The sequence below is a fragment of the Homo sapiens genome, chromosome X (assembly GCF_000001405.40).
Source record: "Homo sapiens chromosome X, GRCh38.p14 Primary Assembly".
Classification (NCBI taxonomy): Eukaryota; Metazoa; Chordata; class Mammalia; order Primates; family Hominidae; genus Homo; species Homo sapiens.
In genome coordinates this window covers 149,627,616-149,654,331 of record NC_000023.11, presented here as the reverse complement: position 1 = coordinate 149,654,331, position 26,716 = coordinate 149,627,616, and the positions used below count along the sequence as shown (strand labels likewise).

The 26,716-nt window shown below is 46.7% G+C and overlaps 1 protein-coding gene and 1 pseudogene across 4 annotated transcripts in view, besides 5 other annotated features; both read left to right on the top strand.

Moving 5' to 3' along the window:
* Window positions 4,150–5,155, top strand: LOC100420321 (MAGE family member A11 pseudogene; annotated as a pseudogene).
* TMEM185A (transmembrane protein 185A) overlaps window positions 22,540–26,716 on the top strand; it is a 35,237-nt gene continuing 31,060 nt past the window's right edge. For all 4 annotated transcript variants that reach the window (NR_104121.2, NM_001174092.3, NM_032508.4 and 1 more), the window contains exon 1: window positions 22,540–22,789. Coding sequence is in view for 3 of the 4 variants with exons in the window: in NM_001174092.3 (NP_001167563.1) it covers window positions 22,752–22,789 (38 nt within the window). In the remaining variant the exon portion in view is untranslated. The remainder of the gene's footprint in view (window positions 22,790–26,716) is intronic.
* Window positions 22,551–22,595: a repeat instability region, noted in NCBI's record as "repeat instability region; expansion of the (CGG)n trinucleotide repeat (CCG relative to the plus strand of the reference genome) is associated with fragility at this site". NCBI's record gives the evidence for it as "EXISTENCE:Southern hybridization evidence [ECO:0000078][PMID:7881407]".
* Window positions 22,551–22,613: a nucleotide motif, noted in NCBI's record as "nucleotide motif; (GCCGTC)n(GCC)n motif found on the plus strand relative to the reference genome". NCBI's record gives the evidence for it as "COORDINATES:manual assertion [ECO:0000218][PMID:7881407]".
* Window positions 22,551–22,618: a tandem repeat, named in NCBI's record as "FRAXF repeat instability region".
* Window positions 22,578–22,987: a silencer, noted in NCBI's record as "silent region_21045". NCBI's record gives its function as "represses an Ori minimal core promoter by ATAC-STARR-seq in GM12878 lymphoblastoid cells {active_cell/tissue: GM12878}" and the evidence as "EXISTENCE:reporter gene assay evidence [ECO:0000049][PMID:35858748]".
* Window positions 22,998–23,047: a silencer, noted in NCBI's record as "silent region_21044". NCBI's record gives its function as "represses an Ori minimal core promoter by ATAC-STARR-seq in GM12878 lymphoblastoid cells {active_cell/tissue: GM12878}" and the evidence as "EXISTENCE:reporter gene assay evidence [ECO:0000049][PMID:35858748]".

Below are 26,716 nucleotides of genomic sequence, written 5' to 3'. Positions count from 1 at the left end.
TAAGGCCAGAGAGGTGGATATAAAAAAAAATCAGTATAAATATTGAACAGATTTAATATTTGGTACGACAATATGATTATCTAGAAAATTCAAAGAATTGTGCAGATGGAATAGTCAAATAACAGACTTCAGAAAAATAGTATACAGAAGATTACTACAGTAAAATCAAAATCCTTGCAACCCAAATAAATAACTATTCAGAACAAGTAATAGAAAATACCCCATTCACAATGGCAACAAAATCTAGAAATTATCCAATGGAGACAGACAAAGCATACAAGATCTTTATGGAAACAACTATGCAAGTACTGATAGAGTTAGGTCAAAAAGTTCCCAGATAAACAGAGCCGTATTCTATATCCCTTAATAGGGAACAGACTATTGAAAAGATATCAATTTTTCTTATTCAAGATTTACAGATATAATGCTTAAAATTTAGCTGCCAAGATGAATGTCAGGCTTGGACTTCTGCCCTCAACTACCAAAATCAATCCTGGAAAACTATAGAAGAAAGAATAAAATAAAATAAAAAAACAAATAGTATCAACAACAAAATCTAAACAACAAAGCAAAGCCCTGGGGGAGAATGAAGACTGTGTTTAACTGGTACCTGTAATCGAAATGGCCAGAGTGTCAAGGAAGTTAGGGAGAGTCCATAGCTGGCATAGAAGGAAGATGACAGGATGTGTAGAAGGAAATGTTTAAATTTTTGCCCCTATTCCAGTGTGAAAATGTCAGGTGGCACCTGAGACCACAGGTGCCAGTAGTCTGGTTTCATTGAAACAGTAGTAGCTCCAGTCTGTGCTAATAACCACCTAAAACCACATTAATAGGTGAATTGGCTTAACTGAACATAAAGAATGGATTACAAATAGAGTGTTGAGCATTAGAATGAAACAGGCATAATGAGGTTAAGTATGATTTCTGATGCTGAATGAAAGTTTAAAAATGAAAATCACTGCACTGAGCTATGAAATACTCGATAATTCTAATGGCAGGAATCCCCAAATTTCATGCTGCTGCTCAGCCTATTTAATGTAAAAACAAATATTTTAGGAAAACAGGTTTGCAAACTCGACCTGTGGCTGGGGAAGAGCTTCCTTGGGAAGGTGTGTGTCTTCTCCCAGAGGTCACTACAATCACAGAAGCTGCCGCTCTGCAGGGAGTACCTGGCCTGGGACCCGCAGCCATTCTCTGCAAGAGATGCAGCTGGGCAAATGCTCAGAAGTGGCAGAAACAGAGTATCTCCTGCCCATGGCTTCATCAAAGATCCAAGAGCCAGGAGGAGGATCCTCTTGAGTGAGGACTGAGAGTCCACCCTCCCCTTGTAGAGGAACCAGAGAATCCAGCTCAGCCCCTTCTAACAATCCTGGAAGATCCTGGCAATGTTGTCGCCCTGAACACACGCCTCCCACCACTGCCACCTCAGGGGACTGGGAGTCAGAGACTTGGTGTGAAGGGAGCAGACCCAATTGGCAGAGGGCAGGGTGTCCAGGCTCTGCAAGGAATCAATGTCAGGACCCTAAGGGAAGCTTGAGGGCCCCTATAACCATTCCTACCCCCATGCCTGGAAGAATCCAGTTCCGCTGCTGCTGTCGACCCAGGGAAGCCCCAGGCTTGGGGGCCGGATGTCACGCCACTGACGTGGCCTCAGGGGTCAGAGGATAGCAAGAGCGCCTCGCTCTGAGTGGCAGCTTGAGATTGGTGGAGTGAAACAGGCCCCGGCTCTGTGAGGAGGCAAGGTGAGACACTGAGGAAGACTGAGGATGCCCCTACCCCAGAGAGAGGACCCCAATTAACCCAGTGCCACCCCTGCTGCCAGCCCTGGGCCACCTGGGGGCAGACTTCTCAGGCTGGGCCGCTCCCGGCTCCACTGCCACTTAAGCCGCAGGGCATTCTGGAGACAGAGCTTGGTGTGACCAGGGAAAGGCTGATTAGGAAAGGGCAGGACCCATGCTCTGCCTGCCAGGCATCATGGTCCAGACCCTGAAGGAGGGCTGAGATCCCACAGAGCGAGGCTCCATCTCTGCTGTCAGCCCTGGGAAGTTCCGGGCATGGTGGACAGGCATGTGGATCCTGATGTTCACATCGGGGGCTGATGGAGGGAAGGGGCTTGGAATCATGAGCACGGCCTCAGGGGAGCAGAAGGTGGGTCCAGGCCAGGCTGGGAGACAAGGCAGGCCTGAGGGGACCCAGCAACCCAGAACAGGGGGCCTACTCCACTTCTTTCTGAGACTGAGGCACCTTCTCAATTGGCCTTGGGAATTTGAGGGATATAGATTCAGGTCCACAAAGGGGTGAGGCTCAGCCCTGACAGGATCAAGAGGAGGAAGAAGAGGGAGGACTCAGAGGACCTCGACCCTGGGAGGTCCTGGGAGTGCTGGCTGTGTGTGGCACATCTTTGCTGTGTCTTTGGGGTGCCAGTGACGAGAGGGGTGTAATATGAGGAGTAGGGCCTCAGGCCAGCAAAGAGAGAAGTCCCCTAGAGCCCTGAGAGAGGACTCAGCAGACCTGTTATCCTGGACCTAGGAAATCTGCCTCTGCTATCAGTCCTGGGAGGCCCAAGGCAGGCCTGTGGAGAAGGGACATGGTCCCCCACTTTCTCCTTGGGGGTCCCAGGAAGATGGTGGCCTTGGCACACAAGACTCATCCACAGTTGAGCAGGAGCGAAAGGGCTGGGCCCTGTCGGGAATAAATCTGAATACCTGGAGGAACGCAGACAGAGGAGGCACCCCTGAAACCTGCTCCTTCTGTCAGCCTTGGGAATCCCGTGCAGAATTTTCCGTGTGGTGCCCCCTCACTTCTTTCTCCCAGGTCTCAGAGAGGTTTGGGCCTTGGTCTGAGGCAGTGTCCTGAAGTCATACAGCAGAGGAGGCCCAGGTATTGCCAGCAGGCAAGGTGAGGTGTTTACTTTAAATGTATACAAAGGGCTCCACCGGCCCCAGAGCAGAGGGGACTCCAAAGTGCCAACCCACCTGTCCTACTGTTATTGCTGGAGCCGTGGCTTCTGCTGACAAGCTGCACCCTGAGGAGCCCTCTTGTTAGTGGTGGCAGGTACCCAAGTTACCCTGAGTTACTGGTGGTGTATCCATATAGGTCTGCGGCAATTTCAGTTCTTACCTCCTCAGAAGAAAGAATTCGACTGAGGGGCCAAAGGCAGAAGGAAAGACTGAGGCAAAAAACAAACAAACAAACAAACAAAACACAAAGCTTTAGAACAGTAAGGAAAGGAAGGAAAGGAAACAAGAAAAGTATAACTCGGAAGAGGGCCAAGTAGTCAACTTGAGAAACCAAAGTCACAGCTTGACCTCTTGACTTGGGGTTTTATGTTGGCATATGTATTAGTTTTCACATTGCTGATAAAGACATACCCAAGACCGGGCAATTTACAATAGAAAGACGTTTAACTGGACTTACAGTTCCGTGTGGCTGGGGAAGCCTCACAATCATGGCAGAAGGCAAGGAGGAGAAAGTCACATCTTACATGGATGGCAGCAAGCAAAAAAAAAAAAAAAAAAGCTTTTGCAGGAAAACTCCCCTTTATAATAACCATCAGATCTCATGAGACTTACTATCATGAGAACAGCATGGGAAGGACCTGCCTCTATGATTCAGTTACCTCCCACTGGGTCCCTCCCACAATGCGTGGGAATTCAAGATGAGATTTGGGTGGGGACACAGCCAAACCATATCAGCCTACTTCAGAGATCTTGTGTTACTTTCTCCCCAGTCCTGAGATCTTGTTGGGAAGCTGCTGATCCATTTCAGGTGTTTTCTATTAGGAGACTGCCTTCCCCTGGCAAGGGCTGTGAACAATTATTACTTTACAGAAATAGTTAACAACCACTTGACCATCGCCTAATGGTCACCCAACATTCCTAGTGTGTGTGTGTGCACGCACGCATGCATGTGCACATGAGTGAAGGGGCTGGGGGAACCCTCTCCTTCCCTATTCATACCTGACTAGCTACCCACTGTAACACTCTCACTTCCTCCAAGTTCTCGGTGAACAGGCCAGCTAGGAGGATAGGTGCCCCAGGAGGCCCCAGAGGAGCACCAAATGAAAAGATCCATAAGTCTGCTTTTGTTAGAGCCTCCAAGGTTCGGCTCTCAGCTGAGGTCCCTCACTGGCTCCCTCTCTCCTCAGGCCTGTGGGTCCCACTTGCCCAGCTCCTGCCCACACTCTGCCATTCTGACCAGAGTCATCATGTCTCCTGAGCAGAGGAATCAGCACTGCGAGCCTGAGGAAAGCCTTGAGGCCGAAGGAGACGAGGCTTTGGGCCTGGTGGGTGTGCAGGCTCCCTTGGCTGAGGAACAGGAGGCTGCCTCCTTCTCCTCTCCTCTGACAGTGGGCACCCTGGAGGGGCTGCCTGCTGCTGGGTCACCTGGTTCTCCCCAGAGTCCTCAGGGAACCTCTACCTCCCCCACTACCATTGACAACACTCTATGGAGCCAATCTAATGAGGGCTCCAGCAGCCAAGAGGAGGCTCCAGGCACCTCACCAGACCCAGCAGACCTGAAGACCTTGTTCCAAGAAGCACTTGATGGGAAGGTGACTGAGTTGGTTCATTTCCTGCTCTACAAGTATTGAGTCAAGGAGACAAACACAAAGGCAGAAATGCTAGAGAGTGTCATCAAAAATTATAAGGATTACTTTCCTGTGATCTTCAAGTGCATGTGGCTGGTCTTTTTTTTTTTTGACATGAAGGAAGTGGATACCACTGGCCACTCCTACATCCTTGTCACTTCCCTGGGCCTCTCCTATGACGGCCTGCTGGGTGATGATCAGAGCAAGCCCAATGCAGGCCTCCAGATAATGGTCCTGTGCACGATTATAATGGAGGGCAACTGCACCCCTGAAGAGGTCATATGGGAAACCCTGAGTGTGATGGGGCTGTATGCTGGGAAGAAGCACAGTGTCTATGGGAAGCCCAGGAAGCTGCTCACCCAAGACTGGGTGCAGGAAAACTACCTGGAGTACCACCAGGTGCCCAGCAGTGATCCTGCACACTATGAGTTCCTGTAGAGTCCAAGAGCCCACACTAAAACCAACAAGATGAAAGTCCTGGAGTATGTGGCCAAGGTCCATGGGACAGATCCCACCTCCTACCCGTCTCTGTAAGAAGAGGCTTTAAGAGAGGGGGAAGAGGGAGTATGAGTACAAGTTGCAGCCAGGGCCACCAGGTGGCAGGTTTAGGGACAGGGCCAGTGCAAGTTCCAGGGGCACAACCTACCCCATGTGAAATCAGGCCCTTTCTTCACCCTGTATTTGAACAGAGTAGTCAGAGTTCTTGGTAAGGGAGGTCAAGGTGGGTGGAAGGAAACACATTGCATACCATCTTTGGCTTCCTGTTCTATTGAGTGATTGGAGATTTATCTTTGTTTCCTTTTAGTAATTTTCAAATTTGTTCCTTTTAACAGAAGATTTAATTAGTTTTAACATCTAAGTTTATGAATGATATTAATCACACATGTATTTTTACTAATCCATTTCATGTATAAGAGTTTGTTATTTTGTAATGTTATGGGACCTTTGGGGTGTCATTTTTCTGGCAAGAAACCTCTGTGGCCACTGGCACCTTTGCCTGAATTTTGCTTGGGCCTGTTGGGCTTGTTTTGACCATTCAATCTGGCATGCTGCACTCAGCTCGCACTACCAGTCTGTGTCCAATTCCCGCCAAGGGCGAGTCAGGCGTGGAATGGTGAGGGTTGTGTGAATGACTGTGGGGTCCAGCCACTGCACACAGTCCGACATGCCAGCTGCTGCAGTGGGGCAGGCAGCTCTAGGCACTGGCACAGGTGTTGGCTCTCCACAAACCTGCAGCTGGACCAGGCACACCACAAGCAGCTTCCACAGCTGGCACTGCAGAACATGGTGGCACCTAGAAGCTTGGAGATGCCAGGAACTGCAAGGCCCCAAAGAGGGAGTCACAGCCCTGGCTCAGGGAGCTCCCAGGTCTGGGCTCCCGGATGGGCCACAGGTCTTATCTCCTTCTCTTTGCTCGCAACATGGTGAGCAAGGGGCATATTTCAGTCTGTTTGTGTTACAGCTCTATTAGCTCAGCTATTCAATGGGTTCCAAGTTCTTGTCCTGTGACCAGGAAGAATGAGGTACACAGACAAATGGAGGGTGAGCAAGATGAAGAGGAGCTTTAATTAGCAATAGAACAGCTTAGTCTCCTGCAGGGGGTCAGCTCCTTCCTGCAGGCAGGGTGTCCCAACAAGTGTTCAGCTCCTAGCAGAGAGGAGACCCTGGAGTGGGAAGCTTCTCTCTGCAGGCAGGTCCTCCCATCTCTGCAGCTTCCAGCAGAGGGGAGGCCCTGGAGTGGATAGCTCCTCTCTGAAGCTGGTTGTCCCGACATCTGCTCACTTCTGGCTGAGCCTGGGGATTTTTGGGCCTCAGAAGGGAGAAAGTGCATGCCAATTGGTCCATCGGTGGCCATGGGTGGGCCCAGAAAAGGCACCACAAGTTCCCACTCTGGTCCACAGGACTGGCAGCCCAGCCCCCAGACTTCAGGCCCTCCCCGGCCTGAAGGTGGGGCCTCACCAGGGACTCGCCGCCTTCTGCCCAGGAACCTGTCTGCCTCCTGCTGTCATTCACAGAGCCCAGGCCATAGGTGCCAAGGGATGCCTACAGGCCAGTTATGAGCTGCCCTCACCACCCCATCAGCTTCCCTACTATGCTCATTGGCGCCCAAATTCCGTAGGGGTCCAAGCCAGCAGGGGACTGACATGTCAGCACTGCCCTGAGTGTGTGCACACCCAGCCAGGCTGTGGCAGCACCTGGGCTTGGCCCAACTTTGCTCTGAGTCTGGAGTGGTTGCTGATAGCAGGGAGAAGCCAGGAGTAGGAGCAGGCATTTCTGACCCTGCCAGGGTGGTGGGGGCCTTCCTGGGCCCCCAAGAGGGCAGGTATGCCAGAATCTGCAGTGATGGTTTGGGCGGTTGCAGCTGTGCCCAGGGGAGGGGGGCGGGGCTTCTGCCTGCTCCATGCAGCAGGATGCCTGGGTCTGCAGCGATGGTTTGGGTGGCTGCAGCTGCACCCAGGGGAGTGAGGCTCCTGTCTGCTCCATGAAGCGGGAGGCCTGTATCCAAAGCTGCGACTTGGGTAGCTGCAGCTGCACCCAGGGGAGTGAGGCTCCTGTCTGCTCCATGAAGCGGGAGGCCTGTATCCAAAGCTGCGACTTGGGTGGCTGTGGCTGCACCCGGGGAGCTCCCACCCCACCAACTCGGAAGGGGCAGGGCTCCCACTTGTCCCTGCCTCATGCTGGTTCCAAGGAGTGTGCAGCCCTGGCTGCACCTCCCTGTTGTAGTTCATATGATGGTAGCATCCACTCCAGACTGGCCACTGCTGCCTTCAGTGAGACATACTGGGAAACCTTCCATATTGCTTTGTGACTTATAACAATATACCATGGCATTGGAATAGATATTTTCTTGGCAAATGTAAGAAATTATCAATAAGATTGATGGGGCCATAAAATAAAAGGAAAAGTCTGCTAATTCTAGCCTTTTTATCCATTTTCATCTGTTGTTCTATAAAAATTGAAACATATACATATAACTGGATTTGCTTCGCTTTTTCAAGGTTGTAGGAGAAATTACAACTTAAACAAAAGACCTGCTCACTGAGTCTTTCTTTCCACAACTTTTATGAGCATCTCCTCTTTGGAAGGCTCTGGGTTAGTAGTGGAGTTACTAGAATAAGCCAGAGAAACCCCTACCCTTAGAGTAGTAGAGTCTAGGAGTTGCATTCATGTAATTAAGGTGGCGAGATGTCCTCTAAGATGCAGAGGAAAAGTAAGAGAGGGGTGAGGGTGTGGGGCTCCAGGTGAGAGTGGTGAAGTTAAATGCCCTGAGCTGGGCGTTTTGATCTTTGGGAAACCGCAGTTCCTTCTTGAGGAGTTGATTATAATGAAGCTGACAAGCGCCACAATCTCAGACCATGAGTCTTAGAGGGTTAGAGAAAAGCCTGGAATGAAAAACTGCTCTGAGAAGTTCCTTTTGGGTGGTGGATGTAGCAGAGAGGAGTCTCCACCAGGGGCAGGAATGGAAGGTGTCCTGCACTTTTGTCCCAGTGTAGTCGAACACAGTGTAAGAGGTGGCTGACTGATACCCAACATCTGCCATCTGCAAGAATTTCCTGAGATAAGCATGAATCTCTCAGGAAGGGAGGCCAGAAGCCACTGGCCAGGTACTCTTCTGCCTGGTTTGGTGTACAGCTGACTCCACTGAAATGGCTATACTTTTGGTGGGGATGATATGAATGAGGTGAATGAAAAATAGTGGTTTGGTTGAAACAGAAGCTGGGAGGGAAGAAAGGAGTTTGTGACCCAAATTCTAGGATCTTAAAGTTAGTGAGTTGCACTCAGCTATGGAAGACTCCCCAACACCTAATTAAATAATGAATCCTCTTCAAGGGACATTTACTAAGCAGCATTTTTTAGTGATAATTCTGTTTCCCATTCAACTGCAAATTCTCTGAGATGTCCTGGAAAACAAAAATATTTTCCAAAATCTGGGGTCAAAATAATGTTAGAAATAAATGATAGTTGGGCTGGGCACGGTGGCTCACACCTGTAATCCCAGCACTTTGGGAGGCTGAGGTGGGTGGATCACCTGAGGTCAGGAGTTCGAGACCAGCCTCAACATGGAGAAACCCTGTCTCTACTAAAAATACAAAATTAGCCAGGCGTGGTGGTGCATGCCTGTAATCCCAGCTACTCGGGAGGCTGAGGCAGGAGAATTGCTTGAACCTGGGAGGCGGAGGTTGCGGTGAGCCGAGATCATGCCATTGCACTCCAGCCTGGGCAACAAGAGTGAAACTCCGTCTCAAAAAAAAAAAAGAAATAAATGATAGTTATTAAAGATGCAATGTATGTCAGGCACTGTGCCAAGTGTTTTAATAAATGTCTTATATTCTAATAGTCTATTATAAAAAGTACCAAACACATGTTACAGATAAAGAAACTGAGGCTCACTGGGCTTAGTAATTTCCCAGGATCACATAGTTAGTAAGTGACAGATTGGCACCAGATCCCTGGCCTGATTCATCTAGAGACCACGCTATTCCCATTCTCCCCAGCTTGAGGTCTATCTTCTGACTTGTAATTCATTTTTGTAGTAAGTATTGCAGAATGTCTCTAAGGTGACAAAAAGAAGAATGCTGAGGTCAAGGCACTAAAAGCTGACCTAAAGTAAGCATGTGAAAATGATCATCTGAAAACTGTGCCTTGCTCCCAGTGGAATGGCCCAGAATCACCTGCCTTCCCCCTGACATAGAGCATGCCTGCTTCCTGAAAACGTCCTTTGGCTGTCACATTGCTCACCCTGGAACTCCTCTAATGGCAACAGCCTCTTTGACATAAAAGTTCACTTGGACAGTGATGTTCAGATGCCTGGTTATATGCCTGAGAGTCAAAATACACTCTGAAACTTTTCCAAATGGGTGCAGGCTCTGATTTGGCACACAACGTATTCCTTCTTGTTACTGAAATGTAAAGTTAGATAAAGGGTTTTTGAAAGCATCTAGATATAGGAGTAGGATTTTAATAAAATGTCTTATTAGACTTTCCACTGAATACACACAGGTTAATAAGCTTACCTAGGTGGTCAAACATCAAAGCTTGTAGATGCAGAAAGACCATGTAAACCACTGTAGGAAAAAAAAATCTACTGAAGCAGAATTTCTAAAAACCCTGGAGCCCTCCAAGGAGGTGAAAAACGCTTCCTCTTTGGACATGCTAGCTCTGATTTAAAAAGAAAAAAAAAAACTATATTTCTGCTATCTCTTGTCTGTGTGCCTCTCCACAGGAAAATCCTTGTTTGCAAAGTGCCTAATGGCACTTGCACAAGTCTTCAGGTAAGTTCAGTTATGTGGACAGTAACAAAGACTCACAAGTTAAAATTTTGACCATGAATCAAATAGGGTAAAAATCTCAACCTACTGAGATTAGAGGTTATTGCAAAGGGAAGTGCAGAAATGTGCCATTGAGTGAAGAAGGTGAACCTTCCCTGATGAGATTTCTAGAATTATTTGAAAAGTAGATGTGATCCTGTATTTGAAGCATCTGTCATATAATAAGTAGGTACTTGAAAAAGCTGGGGAATTTTGAAGCAAATCTGACCTTTTCAGAAATTCCTCCCAGAAATGAAGAGGATTGCTGTAGTAATAAATTATAATACAGTTGACCTTTGAACAACATGGGTTTGAACTATGTGGGTTCACTTATACACAGACTTTTTAAATAAATATATTGGAAATTTTTTTGGAGTTTGCAACAATTTGAAAAAACTCACAAACTGCATAGCCTAGAGATATAAAAAAAGAGTTATGTCATGAATGAATAAAATATATGTGGATACTAGGATATTTTGTTATTTAGTACTATAAAATATATGAAGTCTATTGTAAAAGGTTTTATCAAAATTTATGTACACAAAAAGTTACAGACCGTACATGGTATTATTCACAGTCAAGATAAATGTAAACAAATGTTGAGATGTAGTATTAAATCATAACTGCATAAAATTAACTGTAGCATAAGCTGTGCTACTGTAATAATTTCATAGCCACCTCCTGTTGCTATTGCAGTAAGCTCAAGTGTTCTTCTATCTGCTTGAAAAGCCATGGGACGCTAATTATCTCCATGTGAGGAGTTTGTCTCTCCAGTAAATTGCGTATAGCAGTAAAAAGTGATCTCTCATGGTTCTCACGTATTTTCCATCATGTTTAGTCCAATACTTTAAAACTTGAATAACACCATTGGATCTATACAATGTGCCACTAGTGATGCTGGAATTCCTGCCAAGAAGCAGAGAAAAGAAATAACATTATAAGAAAAGTTGAATTGCTTAACATGTACCGTAGATTGGATTTGCAGCTGTAGTTGCCCACTGTTTCAAGATTAATGAAATCTGCATAAGAACCATTGTAAAAACAAAAGAAAAAAGAAAAAGAAAAAGAAATTCATGAAGCTGTTTCTGCAACTACATCAGCAGGTGTGAAAACCTTGCACATTTTGTGAAACACCTTTTTATCCCATATGGCAAATGCAGCCTTTATGTGGTGCAGAATTGCCACAAGAAAGGCATACCTATAGATTCTAATATGAATCCAGAAAAATCCAAGTTATTATATGATAACTTAACGCAAAAGATCCGTGTAGAATATAAAGCTGGAGAATATAATGCCAGCAAAGGATGGTTCAATAATTTTATTATGTATATACATATATATTTAAATATATACATAATAAAATGAAATATATATATGTATACACATTATATATAAACTGGGCCAACTGAGGCCAGATATTGGGGAGTATGGGCAAGTTTGGGCAAAGCACAGGTATATATATATATATATATATATCCATATATATATACCCACTGGGATAGAGGCAGTGGTTTGATAATCTTAGAAAGAGATTTGGCTTGAAAAATGTCAAGATAACAGGAAAAGCAGCTTCTACTAACCAAGAGGTAGCAGACAAGTTCCCAGACGTCATTAAGAAAATTATTGAGAAGAAAACATATCTGCCTGTACAGGTTTTTAATGCAGATGAAAATACCCTACTCCGGGGGAAAAATGCCACAAAGGACATTAATTAGTGAGGAAGAGAAGGAAGCACCAGGATTTAAGGCACAAAGCAATAGGCTAACTCTATTGTTTTATGCAAATGCAGTCAAGTTTGTGATCAGGACTGTCCTTATCTATAAAGCTGCTAACCCTCAAACCTTGAAAGGGAAAGATAAAATATCAGCTTCTAGTCTTTGGGTTGTACAACAAGAAAGCCTGGACAATTAGAACACTTATTCTGGATTGGTTCTATCGATGCTTTGTCCCTGGAGACAGGAGGTACCTTGGCAGTAAGTGACTGCCTTTTAAAGTTCTTTTGCTATTAGACAATGTCCCTGGCCACCCAGAACCCAATGAGTTCAACATTGAGGGTGCTGAAATGATCGAAGTTATCCCCAAACACAAGGTCTCTAATTCAGCCTCTAAATCAGGATAAGGACTTCTAAGGCTCACTACACATGGTACTCTATGGAAAGGATTGTCAACGCTATGGAAGAGAAACCCCATAGAGAGAAAATTATGAAAGTCTGGAAGGATTTTACCATTGAAGGTGCCATTATTGTTATAGAAAATCTGTGAAAGCCATCAAACTTTAAACAATAAATTTCTGCTGGAGAAAATTATGTCCAGATGTTGTGCATGACTTCACAGGATTTACGACAGAGACAAATAAGGAAACAATGAAAGAGGTTGTGGATATGGTCCAAAAGATGGAATGTAAAAGATTTCAAGATATGAATCTTGAAAAAATTCAAGAGCTAATAGACACCATGCCAGAGGAAATAACAGAAGGTGACTTGATGGAGATGAGTGTTTCCAAACCAGTGACAGATCATGAGGAAAAAGATGTATAAGAAACGGTGCCAGGAAAAAAAACTAACACTAGACAATCTGGCAGAAGGGTTCCAATTTTTTAAGACTGCTTTTGACTCCTTTTACGACATGGACCCTTCTATGATGTGGGCACTGAAACTAAAACAAACAGTGGAAGAAGGATTGGTACCATATAGAAACTTTTAGATATAAGAAAAAGAAAATTACAACGTATTTTCATTCAATTACACTGAGTATGCCTGCCTCTCCTGCTTCCCCTCCTACCTCTTCCTCCTCTGCCAGCCCTGAGACAGCAAGACTAACCCCTCCTCTTCCTTTTCCTCAGCCTACTCAATGTGAAGATGATAATGACGCATATCTTCATGATGATTTACTTCCACTTAATGAATAGTAAATATATTTTCTCCTCCTTATGATTTTCTTAATTTTTTTTATAGTTTATTGTTAGAATACAGCATATTATACACATAATACACAAAAATATCTGTTAATCAACTGTTTACATCATCAATAAGGCTTCCAGTCGACAATAGCTTATTAGTTAAGTTTTGGGGGAGGCAAAAGTTATAGGTGGATTTTTGACTGCATGGAGGGTCAGTGCCCCTAACTCCCATGTTGTTCAAGGATTAATTGTAGTTGCTTTATGTTGGACATCTGCAAAACAGTTTATGGGAGATACTACAAGTGCTCATCTATGTCTTGTCCTCCTTTCCTTCCTGAACACAGGGGAACATCACAGTCCTTTTGAAGTTAGGAAGGGTCATGTGATTACTCTTTGCCACTGAAATAGAAGCAGACACATTATTTTGTCACAGTCATTTCTATTGAAGGTGCTGCAGAAGCAATACATTAATTCTCAAACCATAACAACACAGAACACAGATCACTCTACACCTAGGAGTTGTCATACACATTTGCTCCTTTAGATGTGAGAAACCAGATTCTGTGCATTTAAGGCCCTGGGTAGGAATCACCCCATAGGATGCTGACTACAGGAAGTTTTTCATGTGACCTGCAACCTTCAGGCTTCCGAAAGTGGTGTTGTCCTCCTCAGTATGGGTGGAAGGCAGTGGCCAAAATAGCCAAAATCTCAGTTGAGACCAGGGGTTTCCTTCTCTCGTTGCTGTGCCCAAATGTGCCCATAGTCCCCAATACTTGGCCTCAGTTGGCCCTGTTTACAGCTTTACCGTTCTTATCTCTACTAACAACCACTGGGCCCAAGACAGGATCTGATGATTATGTTAACACGCAAATATCATCATTTGAAATTCCCCAGTAAGGAATCCCCTTCCAAGATATTGTGGTAGAACTGGCAGGAGATGATGAAGTTTTTGGCGAGTCTCCTAGTGGTTGGTAAATAATAATCATTGCAGTGTGATGAGTGACAAATTACTATGATTAGGAGGTACTATTCAAATAATCCCCCATGTAATGCCTGGCTTTTGATTAACTGATTACCTTAAATGGGCGACAATGAGGTTTTGCTTTCTGAGGTTGATCCAGAGAGGTGGGGCTGGGGTGTCCTAGCAGAGGCAGCTAGGGCCTCAGTATGCCCAGAGAGGCAGTTAAAGAAGACTAAAGGCTGTAGCAGATGGTGGGGGCGGTGAACATCGCAACACTCCTCAGTTCCCAGAATACACTTAGACCCACATTAGGATTTCGAAAGGAGCTTGGTGTGAGAGGGCTTTGGGGTCCATGCTGAGGAACAGCCACCCCAGGAGATGAGTGAGGAGGAGCACCTGCCAAATCCAGCTGTACTGCCCTGGGCTGGCTGTGGGGAGAGGGACATGGGAGCAGAATGAGGCTGGACCATGTTATGAGCCAGGTACTCCTGGGAATGGCCAGACGCAGATGCCTGTGTGGCACTCCAGAATGGAAGGAAGGACACTGCTGGAAACAGGGATACTGCATGTCCCTTCTTAGAGCCAAGGTGTGTGGAGAGTGCTCACCCTGTGTTTCCTAAGGACTGCAGGGCTGGAGCAGCTAGGATGTTCCACACACCCCCACAGCCTCCCCTGGAGGCATTTACAGGGTCCAGCATCCTCCACAGCAGCCTCTAGTGTGGGCACACATCACACAGGACAGAGCCAATCTTGACCATGTCAGGGCGGAGCAGATAGGAGCCTCCCTGTGCCCATCCGTGGATAGGTCTTGAGGGTTTCCAGATGTCCTGAGCCTGCCCCCTGAGGGGCGGGTGGGAGGCCTCACAGACATGGTCTCACTTCCCTGGGAAACCTCCCTGTTCCACCAGCCATGGCTAACCCCCTACTCTGAACTCCAGCCCCCTTGGCAAGGAGCTGACCTCCTGCCTGGCTCTTGCCAGCCCTTCCCTTTGTTGACATCAACACAATAAATTGCTGGATTTTAATTGGGATTTTGTTAAATATATAGATCAAGTTAGGAAAAACTGACATCTTGACAATACTGAATCTTCCTATCCATGTATATTTGTTTTAAATGCCTCCATTTATTGTTTTTAATGTTTCTGTACCAATATTTGTCTTAGAGTCTACATGGGCATTGATTGGTACATTTCTTCCTCTCCTGAAAATCTGTTGTTGTGGGTAGTTCATCTCACATCTCGGAACTGTGCAGATATGGTATAACTTGTTCTAGCCCTGGCTGGGGCAAAAGTCAGGGTCACTGAACTGGGGCCAGGATCAATATATGGATCTGTGGGTGTTGACCCTGAAGAAGGCTTCCAAGACATCTTCCAGGCCCACCCTCCTTGCATTCAACCCAACACCCCAAAGCTTTGTGAGGGAGAGTCCTCTGGCTGGACACCCTGAATGCCAAAGAAAAGGTTCCACACTGCATTCTCCTGGCCTCCCAAGTTCATGGTTTTGAGGAATGCTGGAGCCACATTCCAAATTACCTCTGTCACAGCTTGTACTTGCAGGTTGGCCCTCCACATGATTATTTAAAAAACATTCTTACTAATTGTCTAGGAAATGCAAATTTAAACCACAATGAGACACCACCTTACTCCTGCAAGAATGGCCATAATTTAAAAATAAAAAAAAATAGATGTTGGCATGAATGTGGTAAAAAGGGAACACTTTTACACTGCTGGTGGGAATGTAAACTAGTACAACTACAGAAAACAGTATGGAGATTCCTTAAAGAACTAAAAGTATAACTACCATTTGATCCAACAAACCCACTACTGGGTATCTACCCAGAGGAAAAGAAGTCATTATATGAAAAAGACACATGCACACGCATGTTTATAACAGCACAATACACAGTTGCAAAAATATGGATCCAACCTAAATGTCCGCCAACCAACAAGTGAATAAAGAAAATGTGGTAGATATACACCATGAAATACTACTCAGCCATAAAGCAGAATGAAATAATGGCCCTTGCAGCAACTTGGATGGAGCTCGAGGCCGTTATTCTAAATGAAGTAACATATGAATGGAAAACCAAACATCGTATGTTCTCACTTATAAGTGAGATCTAAGCTAAGAGGATGCAAAGGCATAAGAATGATGTAATGGACTTTGGGCACTCAGGGGGAAGGGTGGGCAGGGGTGAGGGATGAAAGACTACATATTGGGTACAACATACCCTGCTCAGGTGATGCACCAAAATCTCAGAAATCACCTCTAAAGAATTTATCCATGTAATCAAAAACCAACTATACCCCTAAAACTATTGATATTTTTAAAAAAACTATCGTTGCTCACACAATCATTTTCAAGGTTTGAATCAGCCTGGGTTTACCTACTTGTCAACTGCAAACCTCTCTTGTGCCAATAATATTTCCAATTTCCTTTTCTACATTTCCTCCCAGAAAGCAGCCAGAAGAGGAATTATGTCTCTGAGGACACACTTATGCCCCCATAATGAACTGGAAGCCACCTCCGAGTGGTTTGGGTAAGACTCTGTGATGGTTAATACTGAGTGTCAACTTGATTGAATTGAAGGATGCAAAGTATTGATCCTGGGTGTGTCTGTGAAGGTGTTGCCAAAGGAGATTAACATTTGAGTCAGTGGGCTAGGAAAGGCAGACCCACCCTTAATCTGGGTGAGAACCATCTAATCAGCTACCAGCATGGCTAGAATATAAACCAGGCAGAAAAACGTGAAAAGACTAGACTGGCATAGCCTCCCAGCCTACATCTTTCTCTTGTGCTGGATGCTTCCTGCCCTTGAACATCGGTCTCCAAGTGCTTCAGTTTTGGAGCTTCAATGGGGTCTCCTTGCTCCTCAGCTTGCAGACAGCCTATTGTGGGACCCTGTGATTGTGTGAGTTAATACTTAAACTCATCTTTAAATATATATACATATATCTATCCTATTAGTTCTGTCCCTCTAGAGAACCCTGACTCATACAGACTATAAAAGATTAGTTCTTCTGGCTGCACCTTTTCTATGCTTGACCCCTAGTGATCTGCCAGTTTCCTCATCTGAAAAACGGGGTGTATTAGTCCATTCTCATGCTGATATGAAGAAATACCGGAGACTGGGTAATTTATAAAGAAAAGAGGTTTAATTGACTCACAGTTCTGCAGGGCTGGGGAGGCCTCAGGAAACTTATAATCATGGCAGAAGGGGAAGCAAACATGTCCTTCTTCACATGGCAGCAGCAAGAAGAAAAGCTGAGCAAAAAGGGAAAAGGCCTCTTATAAAACCATCAGATCTTGTGAGAATTTACTCAATATCCCAAGAACAGCATGACGGTACCTGCCCCCATGATTCAATTAACTCTCACTAGGTCCCTCCCATGACAGGTGGGGATATGGGGAACTACAATTCAAGATGAGATTTGGGTGGGGACACAGCCAAACCAAAACATAGCACAACTTCGGAGCATTGGTGTAAGATTGCGCTAGTTTCCTGGGACTGCCATACCGAAGTGTTATACCACAAAGTGTGCGGTATAAAACAGTACCAATTAATTCTCTCTCAGTTCTGGAGGTTCAGTGCCTAATATCAAGGTGTTGGCAGGGTTGTGCTCCCTCTGAAGGCTCTAGGCGAAGATCTTTCCTTGCCTATTCCAGCTTCTGGTAGCCCCAGGTGTTCCTTGGCTTGTGGCAGCATCACTCCAGTCTCTGCCTTCAGTTTCACATGGCTGTCTTCTCTCTGGGTCTGTGTTTCATTTTCTCTTTTCTTACAAGGACATTAGTCATATTGGATTAAGGGCTCACTCCAATGACCTCATTTTAACTTTATTACAGCTGCAAAGTCCCTATTACCAGTGAGGTCACCTTCACAGGTATTGGGGATTAGGACTTCAGCATATTGAAGGGTATATTTTGGAGGGTACAATTCAACTCATAACGACGATTATAAGATGGCCCAAAGTAGGCCTTCTTATGATGAATAAAAAGGAGCAATTACTGCTGAACATCTAAGATGCACCTTCTCCTGTACATGGTAATATTTCTGAAAGAGTACAGATCTTAAGATGCATAAGTACATTGATTCATGCAGGGTTTTACCCTTGAAAATCTGTTATTAAATAGATGGTTCATCTCACATCTTAGAACTGTACAAGCATGGTATAAGTTGTTTTATAATAAGACACAAAAAACCTCAACATGTCAATGATTTGTAGGAAAGTGGGAGTGTGGGTACCCACATAATGTCTGCAGCTATTAGAAACTTGGAAAGAAAGGGTCATTTTTCCTGCAGACACAAGTTGCCTGGTTTGAGGCAAGGGATGAGGAAGAACTGCTTTTTTGTTTGTGCCCTGTGACTGTCCAACATCAGCATTCATTTCATGACCATTGCCTGAGCACCTACTGCATGCCAGGATCCAAGAATACAGGGGCATAGTGGGAAGCATCATGGGACTCCAAAACTGACTCCTCCAAGCACAGAGAGCTGAGAGCACACGCACAGCTGCCTGTAGGCAGAGTGGGGTGGTGGGAAGGGAAGGGAGGATGGTTGCAGACAATATTGTTCTCCAAAATGGTGCACCTGCCTCCATTCACTGACTTCTGTGTTTTTACAACTGTTGTTTACTCTGCCTGGAACCTCATTTCCTCTCTTCCTACCTTACAATGTTATTTTTTCAGCTCAGCGGTTCCCTCATCCCCAATGCTTATCGTGCACAATGCTGTGTTTTCATTATTCATATCTGTGTGTTCCCAGTGCCTTCCACAGTGCCCGGCACAAAGCAGACACTCTGGAAGACATATGTCAGATGAATGCAACTAAAGGAGTGAAGGTTACAGGCTACCCAAGATGAAAGGATCCATTAGGGGAAGGCAAGATGAGGAAGAGCACATTTGATTAGTTAGGGCAGAGGGCCCCAGAGGAATGTGTCAGAAATACAGTGTGGAAACAGAAAGGGAGAAAGACAAGCATTGAGTGGAGATTCAGGAATGAGAGCAGGTTGGGAACAAGGAGAAAAAGGAATCATGTGGGCAGCTGGTTGGTGACCTTTGGCAAGCATGGGCCTTTTTGTCTGCCCCGTGTGCTTGGCCACACACACTTGACCTGGGCTTTGCATACACAGCACACTGGAGGAGTGTGGCACAGCCGGGAAGGCTTCCTGGAAACCCTGGCATCAGGAGAGGTCCAGAGGAGAAGCACAGGGATACCGTGGTGGTTTGCTGGCCCAGGCAAAGGCTCCCCATTCTGCCTTCCAACAGGAAATGGCCCCTGCTTCCTTTAGCAGAAAGCTTGCTCCATGAGGGATGATAAACCACCCACTCCCAGGGCTACCCTGGGTGACAGGAGGTCCACTGGGGCCTTGGGACTGTCCTCCCTCCCTCTTCTCTCTCAGTAACTGTAATTTGCCTACCTGAGGGAAGACTCCCTGAGGAGGTGGCTCCTTCTGGGCTCTGGAAGGCCATAGGGGTTGCTGCAAGTCCAAGCAGAACTACAGCTACTACCTCTGTGGTCCCTTCAGTTGCCTCCCTGCAATCTCCTCCTCCAGTTCTCCAAGCCCCTAAATCTAGCCCCGTATTTAATCAAATCCCTGTCTAGACTCCAGACCCACCCACCTCCCAGGGAGATCTCAGATGTGTATCCAAGTTAGGCTAAAGTTGCCTGAAACAAAGGGTTCTGTCAGGAAGCAGGAGATTGCATTCTGCAGGTGGACTAATTCCCAGCATCTTCAGCAATTCTCTAATTGGTGGCATTCAAAGTGTGGACTTTAGGGAACCTAGGGTGAGGAATTCCAGGCTAAGAAAGCCTTGCAGGCTGGCACCTCCATGTTTCCTGGCTAAAGAACTTGTCAATCTGACCTCCGAGAAGCTCTTTATAGTCCCATAGGCCTTGCACGGGACTGGATCCCAGCTGGCCCTCCCTCCACTGGAGCAAGGGTGAAACTGGTGTTGAGTTCAAATCTACTAATTCCACACTCTCTCCATTCTACTGCTGCAGCCAGGGAAGGAGCCTTGGTGGTGTGTGGAGGGCGGTTCCACGGCCATTTTCTTCCCCTATGCCAGGTCTCCCCAGTCCAAGTGTCTAAATTCACCAGGATTCTCTTCACCAGTGCCTTGCTCTTCAGAGGAGAGGCATCCTATATCACCACATTGAAGCCAATGTGAATATTGAATTGGACAAGCCACCAGCTTATCAGAAGGGTGGTACAAATCCAAGTTAGTCCTTAAAACCATGGTCAGATATACACTGATTCTTCTGGAACACTGTAACCTAAGCCCACCCCAAAGTCACCAAGAATATGCTGTCTGGCTTATTTGGGGGTCATACTTTTTCAATCCAGAGCCATTTCTTTCCTTTGAGTGAAGAATGTTGGGAGCCCCTAGCAAGATAGCCCTGGAATTTTTTGGCAAGTCAAGGAAAAGATAAAGTCAAACTCTGCTAGTGGAGAAGATGTGGGTGTCATCTTCTCCACTAGTCATACTTAGCCTTGATGTATCACCTTTCTTCTGAGAATGTAGAAACATTTAATAAGTGGTAATTAAGCTTCCCAGCACTCCTGGTGCCTGCATATGACCCAGGGTCTTTCTTTAATGTCAGGATCACTTGTGGGTCTGTCTACACAGGTCATTGAGGCTTTGGACCTCCATCTAGGGTGGGACACTGAGTGAGGGCTCTGAAGTGAGCAGCAGGTTGTCAGTAGGGTCTTTTGCACTTGCTGGAGAGAGGACCAGATGGCCATCTGGTTTCTGGCTTTTTTTTCCCCATGAGAGCACCAGTAGCATAAAGGGTTGGGCTTCCAGAATCAGTCCAGGTAATCCACCTCTTGAAGACTGGGGATGTGAAGCCTTGGGAAAGTCCAGTTCTTCCTGTATTTCCTCACAGACAGGTTCATATGTTCCTCTTGGCAATTTACCTTGTCAGAGCAAAAGAACACACTGACAAGTAATTTGTGCATCAGTGTCCTGTTGCCTTTGCTAGATAGCTTCCAGGGCCTGGTCAACTCTGGAAGAACTGCTAAAATTGAACTTGTGGGCCTGCAGAGCAGTGGTTCAGCTCCCAGACTCCCTGGGATCTCATTAAAGTAGCGTCTGCCCTCAAGATTCTGGACTCTGAGGAGCCTGCCTGGTCTCTATCTATGAAGCTCTTGAAAGGGCAGTGATGCCTGTTATTCAAGTGTCTGAACTGGCAGACCATCTTCTCATGCCTGCTTGGGGCACGGTCACTGGTAATGAAGATGGTGCTGTCCAATCTGACCACTGGCAAGCACCTCTTTCTAACAGTATGGGCTGCAGGTTCAGCTAGACCCTGAGTTTCATCTGTGCTCCTTCACCCTTACTTGCTGGCTCGCTCAGGGCCTGTTATACAAGCTTCTCTGCGCCTTAATTCCTCGTCTGTATTTGAGTGTTCATTGAGAACCTCCTCTGGGCTACACATTGGACTTTACCCAGAGGATGGGAAAGGAAGATGGGTGAAAAAGTCTGGGACAGGGTCCTGGTGCTTCAGCAGATGAAAACTTGATTTGGATTACTCAACCTTAAAATCAGCTCATATAATAATATCCATTTCCCAGTGGGTGTTGGGAAGCTTAATTACCACTTATGATATGTTTTTACGTTCTCAGAAGAAAGGTGATACATCAAGACTAAGTATGACTATCGCAATTGTGATTCTCTCAAGCTGCCCTTGGGGCTAAACAGTATAAAATTGTCATTTGTGAAACTCTGCTATTGCAACAAAGGATGACTATTATCCATAATGATAGTAGACTAATGTTTAAGGCATTGTTGTGCTCATGAAAACTTAAATCTGCCCAAAGTGAAGATGGTAAACTAGGTCACCTGCTATGAGCTTGTCCTGCTCTTGGATTCCAAAAGCAAACAAAATCCTTGAGGAGGTTGACACCTGAAAGAGTACCAGATAGCAACAGCATTCTTTGTACACCTAGCATGTACCAGGCAGTGTGTTATGCACACGATCTCACTGAATCTTCCTAACACGCTTAGAAAAGAGGTTTTTATCATTTCCATTCTGCGGAGGAGAAAAACTGAGACTCAAAGATGTTGACTTGCCCAAGGAAGATGAACCTGGTACTTGTAAGTAGGGCAGCCTGGAGTGGAGGCAGAGGTCAGGTGTGAAGTGACCACAAAGTTTAGACAGGATCCAAGGAGGCTCTGAACTGGGTTAGAAAAATGAGGATGATTTCCACGTCTCCTGCTTGAATACCCCCCTGCGTACGAATAGGCCTGCTGCTAAGGGAAAAAGGGAACCCAGGAGGGGAAGGCGGTTGGCACGGGAAGTGACTTTGGTGCTAGGTAACTTGAGTAGGGAATAGCCAGCATATCTGGACACGCTGGCTTGGGAATTGGAAGGGAAGTTGGGACCCAAACTTTGGAGTCGTTGACAGATGTGACAGGTGAAGCCTGGGATGACATCGCCAAAAATGCAACGTCTCACTCATTGTCACTACTCCCAGGGCTCAGTCGTCACTGGGGAAAATCTCCAGAAGGTAGCGCGGGCCAAGGTGACAGGTGTCTGCCAAGATCTGCCCGCCAGACTCCCGGGCGGCGCGCTCCCTCCCTGCAGGCCTTCAGCCCGTCAGCATCCCCTTCCTCGGGGCCCTGCTCACTCCCAGCCTCCATCCCCCTGCCATCTCCTCCGCCGGTCGCGTGCGGACACAAGGATGGGGACCTCCCAGCGAGGAGCGCTCTGGGCGGGGCTCCGGACGCATGCGCGGCCCTCGTACGGAAGCCCGGAAGGAGGGGCAGGGGGCGGTGGCTCAGGTTTCTCCGGGCGGCGGCGGCGGCGGCGGCGGCGGCGGCGGCGGCGGCGGCGGCGACGGCGACGGCGACGGCAGCGGGGACGGCAGCAGTAGCGGGAGCAGCAGCGTGGACGCGGCTGGCGCTGGCGCCATGAACCCGCTGTAAGGCGCAGGCTGTGCAGCACGGGGTGCGGGGGAGGAGGAGGAGGACGCCGCGGTGAAGTTCTCCGCCATGAACCTGAGGGGCCTCTTCCAGGACTTCAACCCGAGGTGAGGCGGCGTCGTTGGCGCCCCCGGGAGTCCGCGCTGCGGGCTCGGGCGCGGGCTGGTGTTCGGCTCCGGGGAGGCACGGCGGGCGAGATGCTGCAGCCCGAGGACCCGGGCGCCTGCCCGAGCCTCCCTGCGGGTGCAAGCGGTCCCCAGGCAAAACAGTCGGCCTCGGCGCCCGCCCGCTTCCTCCTCCCGTGCCCGGTGCTTTCAGCCCCTGCCCGGCCACGGCCGGAAGGGCCCGGCCGCGAGCCCCGTCCTGCCCCAAGGGAACCCCATTCTTTTCTGCTTGCTGTCCCTCATTGGTGTCCCAACTTCTTCGTCTCGGTTCCATCCTCTTCTGCGCCGCTGCGGGCCCTCCATTCTCCGCGTCAGGGCCGTCTCACTCGACCCAACACCCCTACCCCCACCCCAGCTGTTTCCTCCAGTTCCTCGCAGTCCTTGGGGTTTTCCTTGGGTTTATGCCCATCCCTCTCTTGTTTGCTTCTTTGTTGAACGGATACCTGAAACACTGTTGAATCCTTGGAGTCAGTGTCGGGGTATGGCAATACCTTATATAATGCATTTCTGGGTGAGCCTGATCATTTTCCATACTCATTTTCTCATCAGTCTTCACTACAAGTTTATTTGCAGGAAGTAGATATTGCTGTCCTTCTTTTCCAGATGGGGAACACCCAGTGGACAGTGTGGAGAAAACACTGGCTAAGCACTCAAGCGCCTGTCCTTGCACTTGCCCGACTGTTTTGTAACTGTTCTTTACCCCAGGCTGTGAGCTCCCTGAAGCTGAGACCATCTCCTGCTCATCTCAGTGTCCCCAGCGCCTCCCACCCACCGTATCTGGCACATAGTAGGCACATATAAAATGTTTGTGGAACTAAACTGAGCCCAAAGACTTGGATTGGAGACGAGGCCATATGTAACTGGGTGATTCTCTGCCCTTCTTTGGCCCTTCTGTAAAATGAGGAGTTGGCCTAACTGATCTCTTAAATGCACTACTCTCCGAAAGGAGTATCCGTTTCCCTTATTTGCCAGTTGGGAAGACGTGCTCAGTAAATATTTGTGTGCTGTAACCTATGTTAGGTGCTTTAGATGCTGGCGGTCTCAGCATGGGGTGAAGAAGGGCTTGTACACTTAAGATGCCTTACAGTACTGTGCAGTGCTGTACTGCGGGGGCCAACTCTGGGGACCTATGCCTTGGCTGCTTGTTGAGGATGAAAGGAAGTTTTAGGGGAGTATTTGTATGTTGAGGGTGCAGTCTCCCTAGGGATGGTGACATTTTAACTTGTGAGTCATTGTGACTTTGTATGTGCTCTTATTCCACTTTGAGTTCATGTTCTGGTTAGGAGTGCCAGTGTCTCTAACACGGTGCAGACATTATCATTGTTGGCTTCGAAGGCATAGAGGAGGTAACAGAACTAACTGCAGTCCCTTCCTCTGCTGCATCAGGGGGTTAAGATTGGTCTGCAGGGTAGTAGGGTTGGTGCTGTGGCTGGACAAGCCCTGTATGTCTTCTATTTGGAGATGGTGATAAGAAAGTTAAGTAAAAACTGAATTGTTTTGTGCCCTTGGGCAACTCACTTATCTATTGTTTTATCTGTAGAATGAGTATAATCTCTCAGTGGGGTAGGGAGGCCAATTAAGGATTGATTACAAAGTGCCTTACAAATAGAAAGCTACAGTGACTTGTTTGCAAGGTGACAGAGAATTCAGAAGCCTCAAGAAACTGCCTTAAGTGATCAAACAGGCTAACGGAGTTGCCAAAGCAAAATAGTGCTGCACTGATACTACCTTTAACCGTTTTTTCCTTTAGCCCTTTTCCCCCCAAAAAAATTAGTATATGAAATTACAGTGAAATACCTGGTATCTAAGCAGATTTATAGTAATTCTCAACATATTCATCAATCTCTTAATTCTACCTGCATTAAAATGTATTTCTACCTGAAAAGTTTAAAGGTCTTTTATACTGTGCCATTTTCCTGATTCATTGTTGCCAGAGGTAGTGAGTTCCTTAATTTTACAGATATTTCAAGAGGACATTGGCCAGGTATTATTGGTAAATCAGATTTGTTTTTTTAGCTGGTAGTGTTTCACCTCTCCTGAGCACTCCTAGTTTTTGACAGTGTGCTTTAGTCTCCTTCCATGCTGAGGAAGGCCTTCTCTATAGGAGAAAGAAAACTGAGGGGTGTACACAGGAAGTTACCTTATGCTGGGGACTCAAACCTTGATGCTACTGCTTTGCTCCCTGCCTCTATTTTTGAACCAATTCAACATCTCCCTCCTACCCCAGGACCTTGTCACACACTGTTCTCTTTACCAGGAATGTTTCCCTCTCTTTTCCTCTCCTCCAGACCTAGTGAACTCCTATTTATCCTCACTTGGCACTTGCTAAGGGAAGCATTCCTGACTTCCCTGACCAGATTTACTGCTCCCTGTTTCTACAGTTCCTGTAGTATTTACTACTCCTCCATCATAGTGCATATTTGTACCCTTGTGTCTGTCTGGATGCTTATTTGATTAATACCTGCCTCCCCCACTAAACTTTAAGCTCCATGGGGTCAAGGCCGTGACTGTGTCAGTATCGTAGCCTGCATACTTGGAATAGTACCTGGCTCAATAAATATTTGTGGAGTAAATAACTGAATAACTCTCCAGAGCCTATAAGATAAATCTAGAGCTGCTGCTTTCAATCACTGCTTTCCTGGTGGTCTGTGGCCTGGTTCTCTTTCTTCTCACACTCTTCCCACCTTCAGAGTGCAGCCATTGCTTTGGAGAGATGGGAGAGAACATGGCACTAAGGCAGAATATGGCTATATTTACTTTGAAGAGCATGTCTTTGTCATAGAAATAGTCACTGTCATGGTTTGGTGGGTCCCAAGGCATGGGTCATGGCTCCAGATCCCCTTTCCAGCCTTTTGGATCTTGGTAAGTCTGAACCCACTGCTGCGTTGGCAAGGCTCTGGAAACTATAGTGACAGAGAATGATTCACAAGTGTCAACACTCAGATGTACAGGGCTGCCAGCTGACCCACTCTACCTATTTCCATCTGGCACTGAACTGGTTGATCATGAACTTCTTTTCATAATTGCTTTTTAGTTATGCAGGTTAAGACATGCCGAAACAGATGTACCGGACCCACAAACAAGTCCTTCCTTGAATGCCTGAGGCTTCCTAACAGTGAAAGAGCCCTGTTCTTAGAGTAGGCAAACTGATTCTGAGGCATTGTAGGTGGTAGGGATCTGGTAGTAGGTAGCATTAGGTGGGCTCCCGGCACTCACCATGGAGCCTTGAAATTTTCTGCTACTTTGGGGGAGTTGCTGGTTCAGAGAAGGCCCTTCCACCCTGGTAGCCATGTGGCACTGGAAGGCTGTGAAAACTCTGCTGGGCCTTCTTAGTCATCTGTTGTGAGCTCCTGATGGGAGTGTGGTGTATCCCTCAGGTGTGCTAGACTGGAACAAAGGCTGAGAAGTGTTGCTCTGGGGGTTCCAACTTGTGGGCATGGGGTACTGATGAGATCAGTAGTGTTTGGAGACTTCTGTATGCTCCATCTTCAGAAGACATTCTGGAGTCCATATAAGTTATCTTGTCTCTTGTTTGAAGCAGGAAAAAGGAATGCGATTGCTGGTAATATAGTTCACTAAAGTCAGCTACCTGGCCTCTAACAGTTATTTGCAAAGTATATTATAACATTGATTCCTCAAACATCTAGATTCCTATCTCGTGCCAAGTGATGTACTAGGTGCTCTAAGTACAAAAATAAAGGAATATAGTCCTCCTCTCAATGCGTAAGCCTAGTGGAAGAAGCAGAAATGAAAGGGAAATAAGAATTCAATAGAGTATGAGGCATTACAGTGAAAGAAACCAAATGTCTTAGAAGTACAAATGGCAGAGCTACTAATTCTGTCTCGAGCAGGCAGGGAAGAGTCTATAGT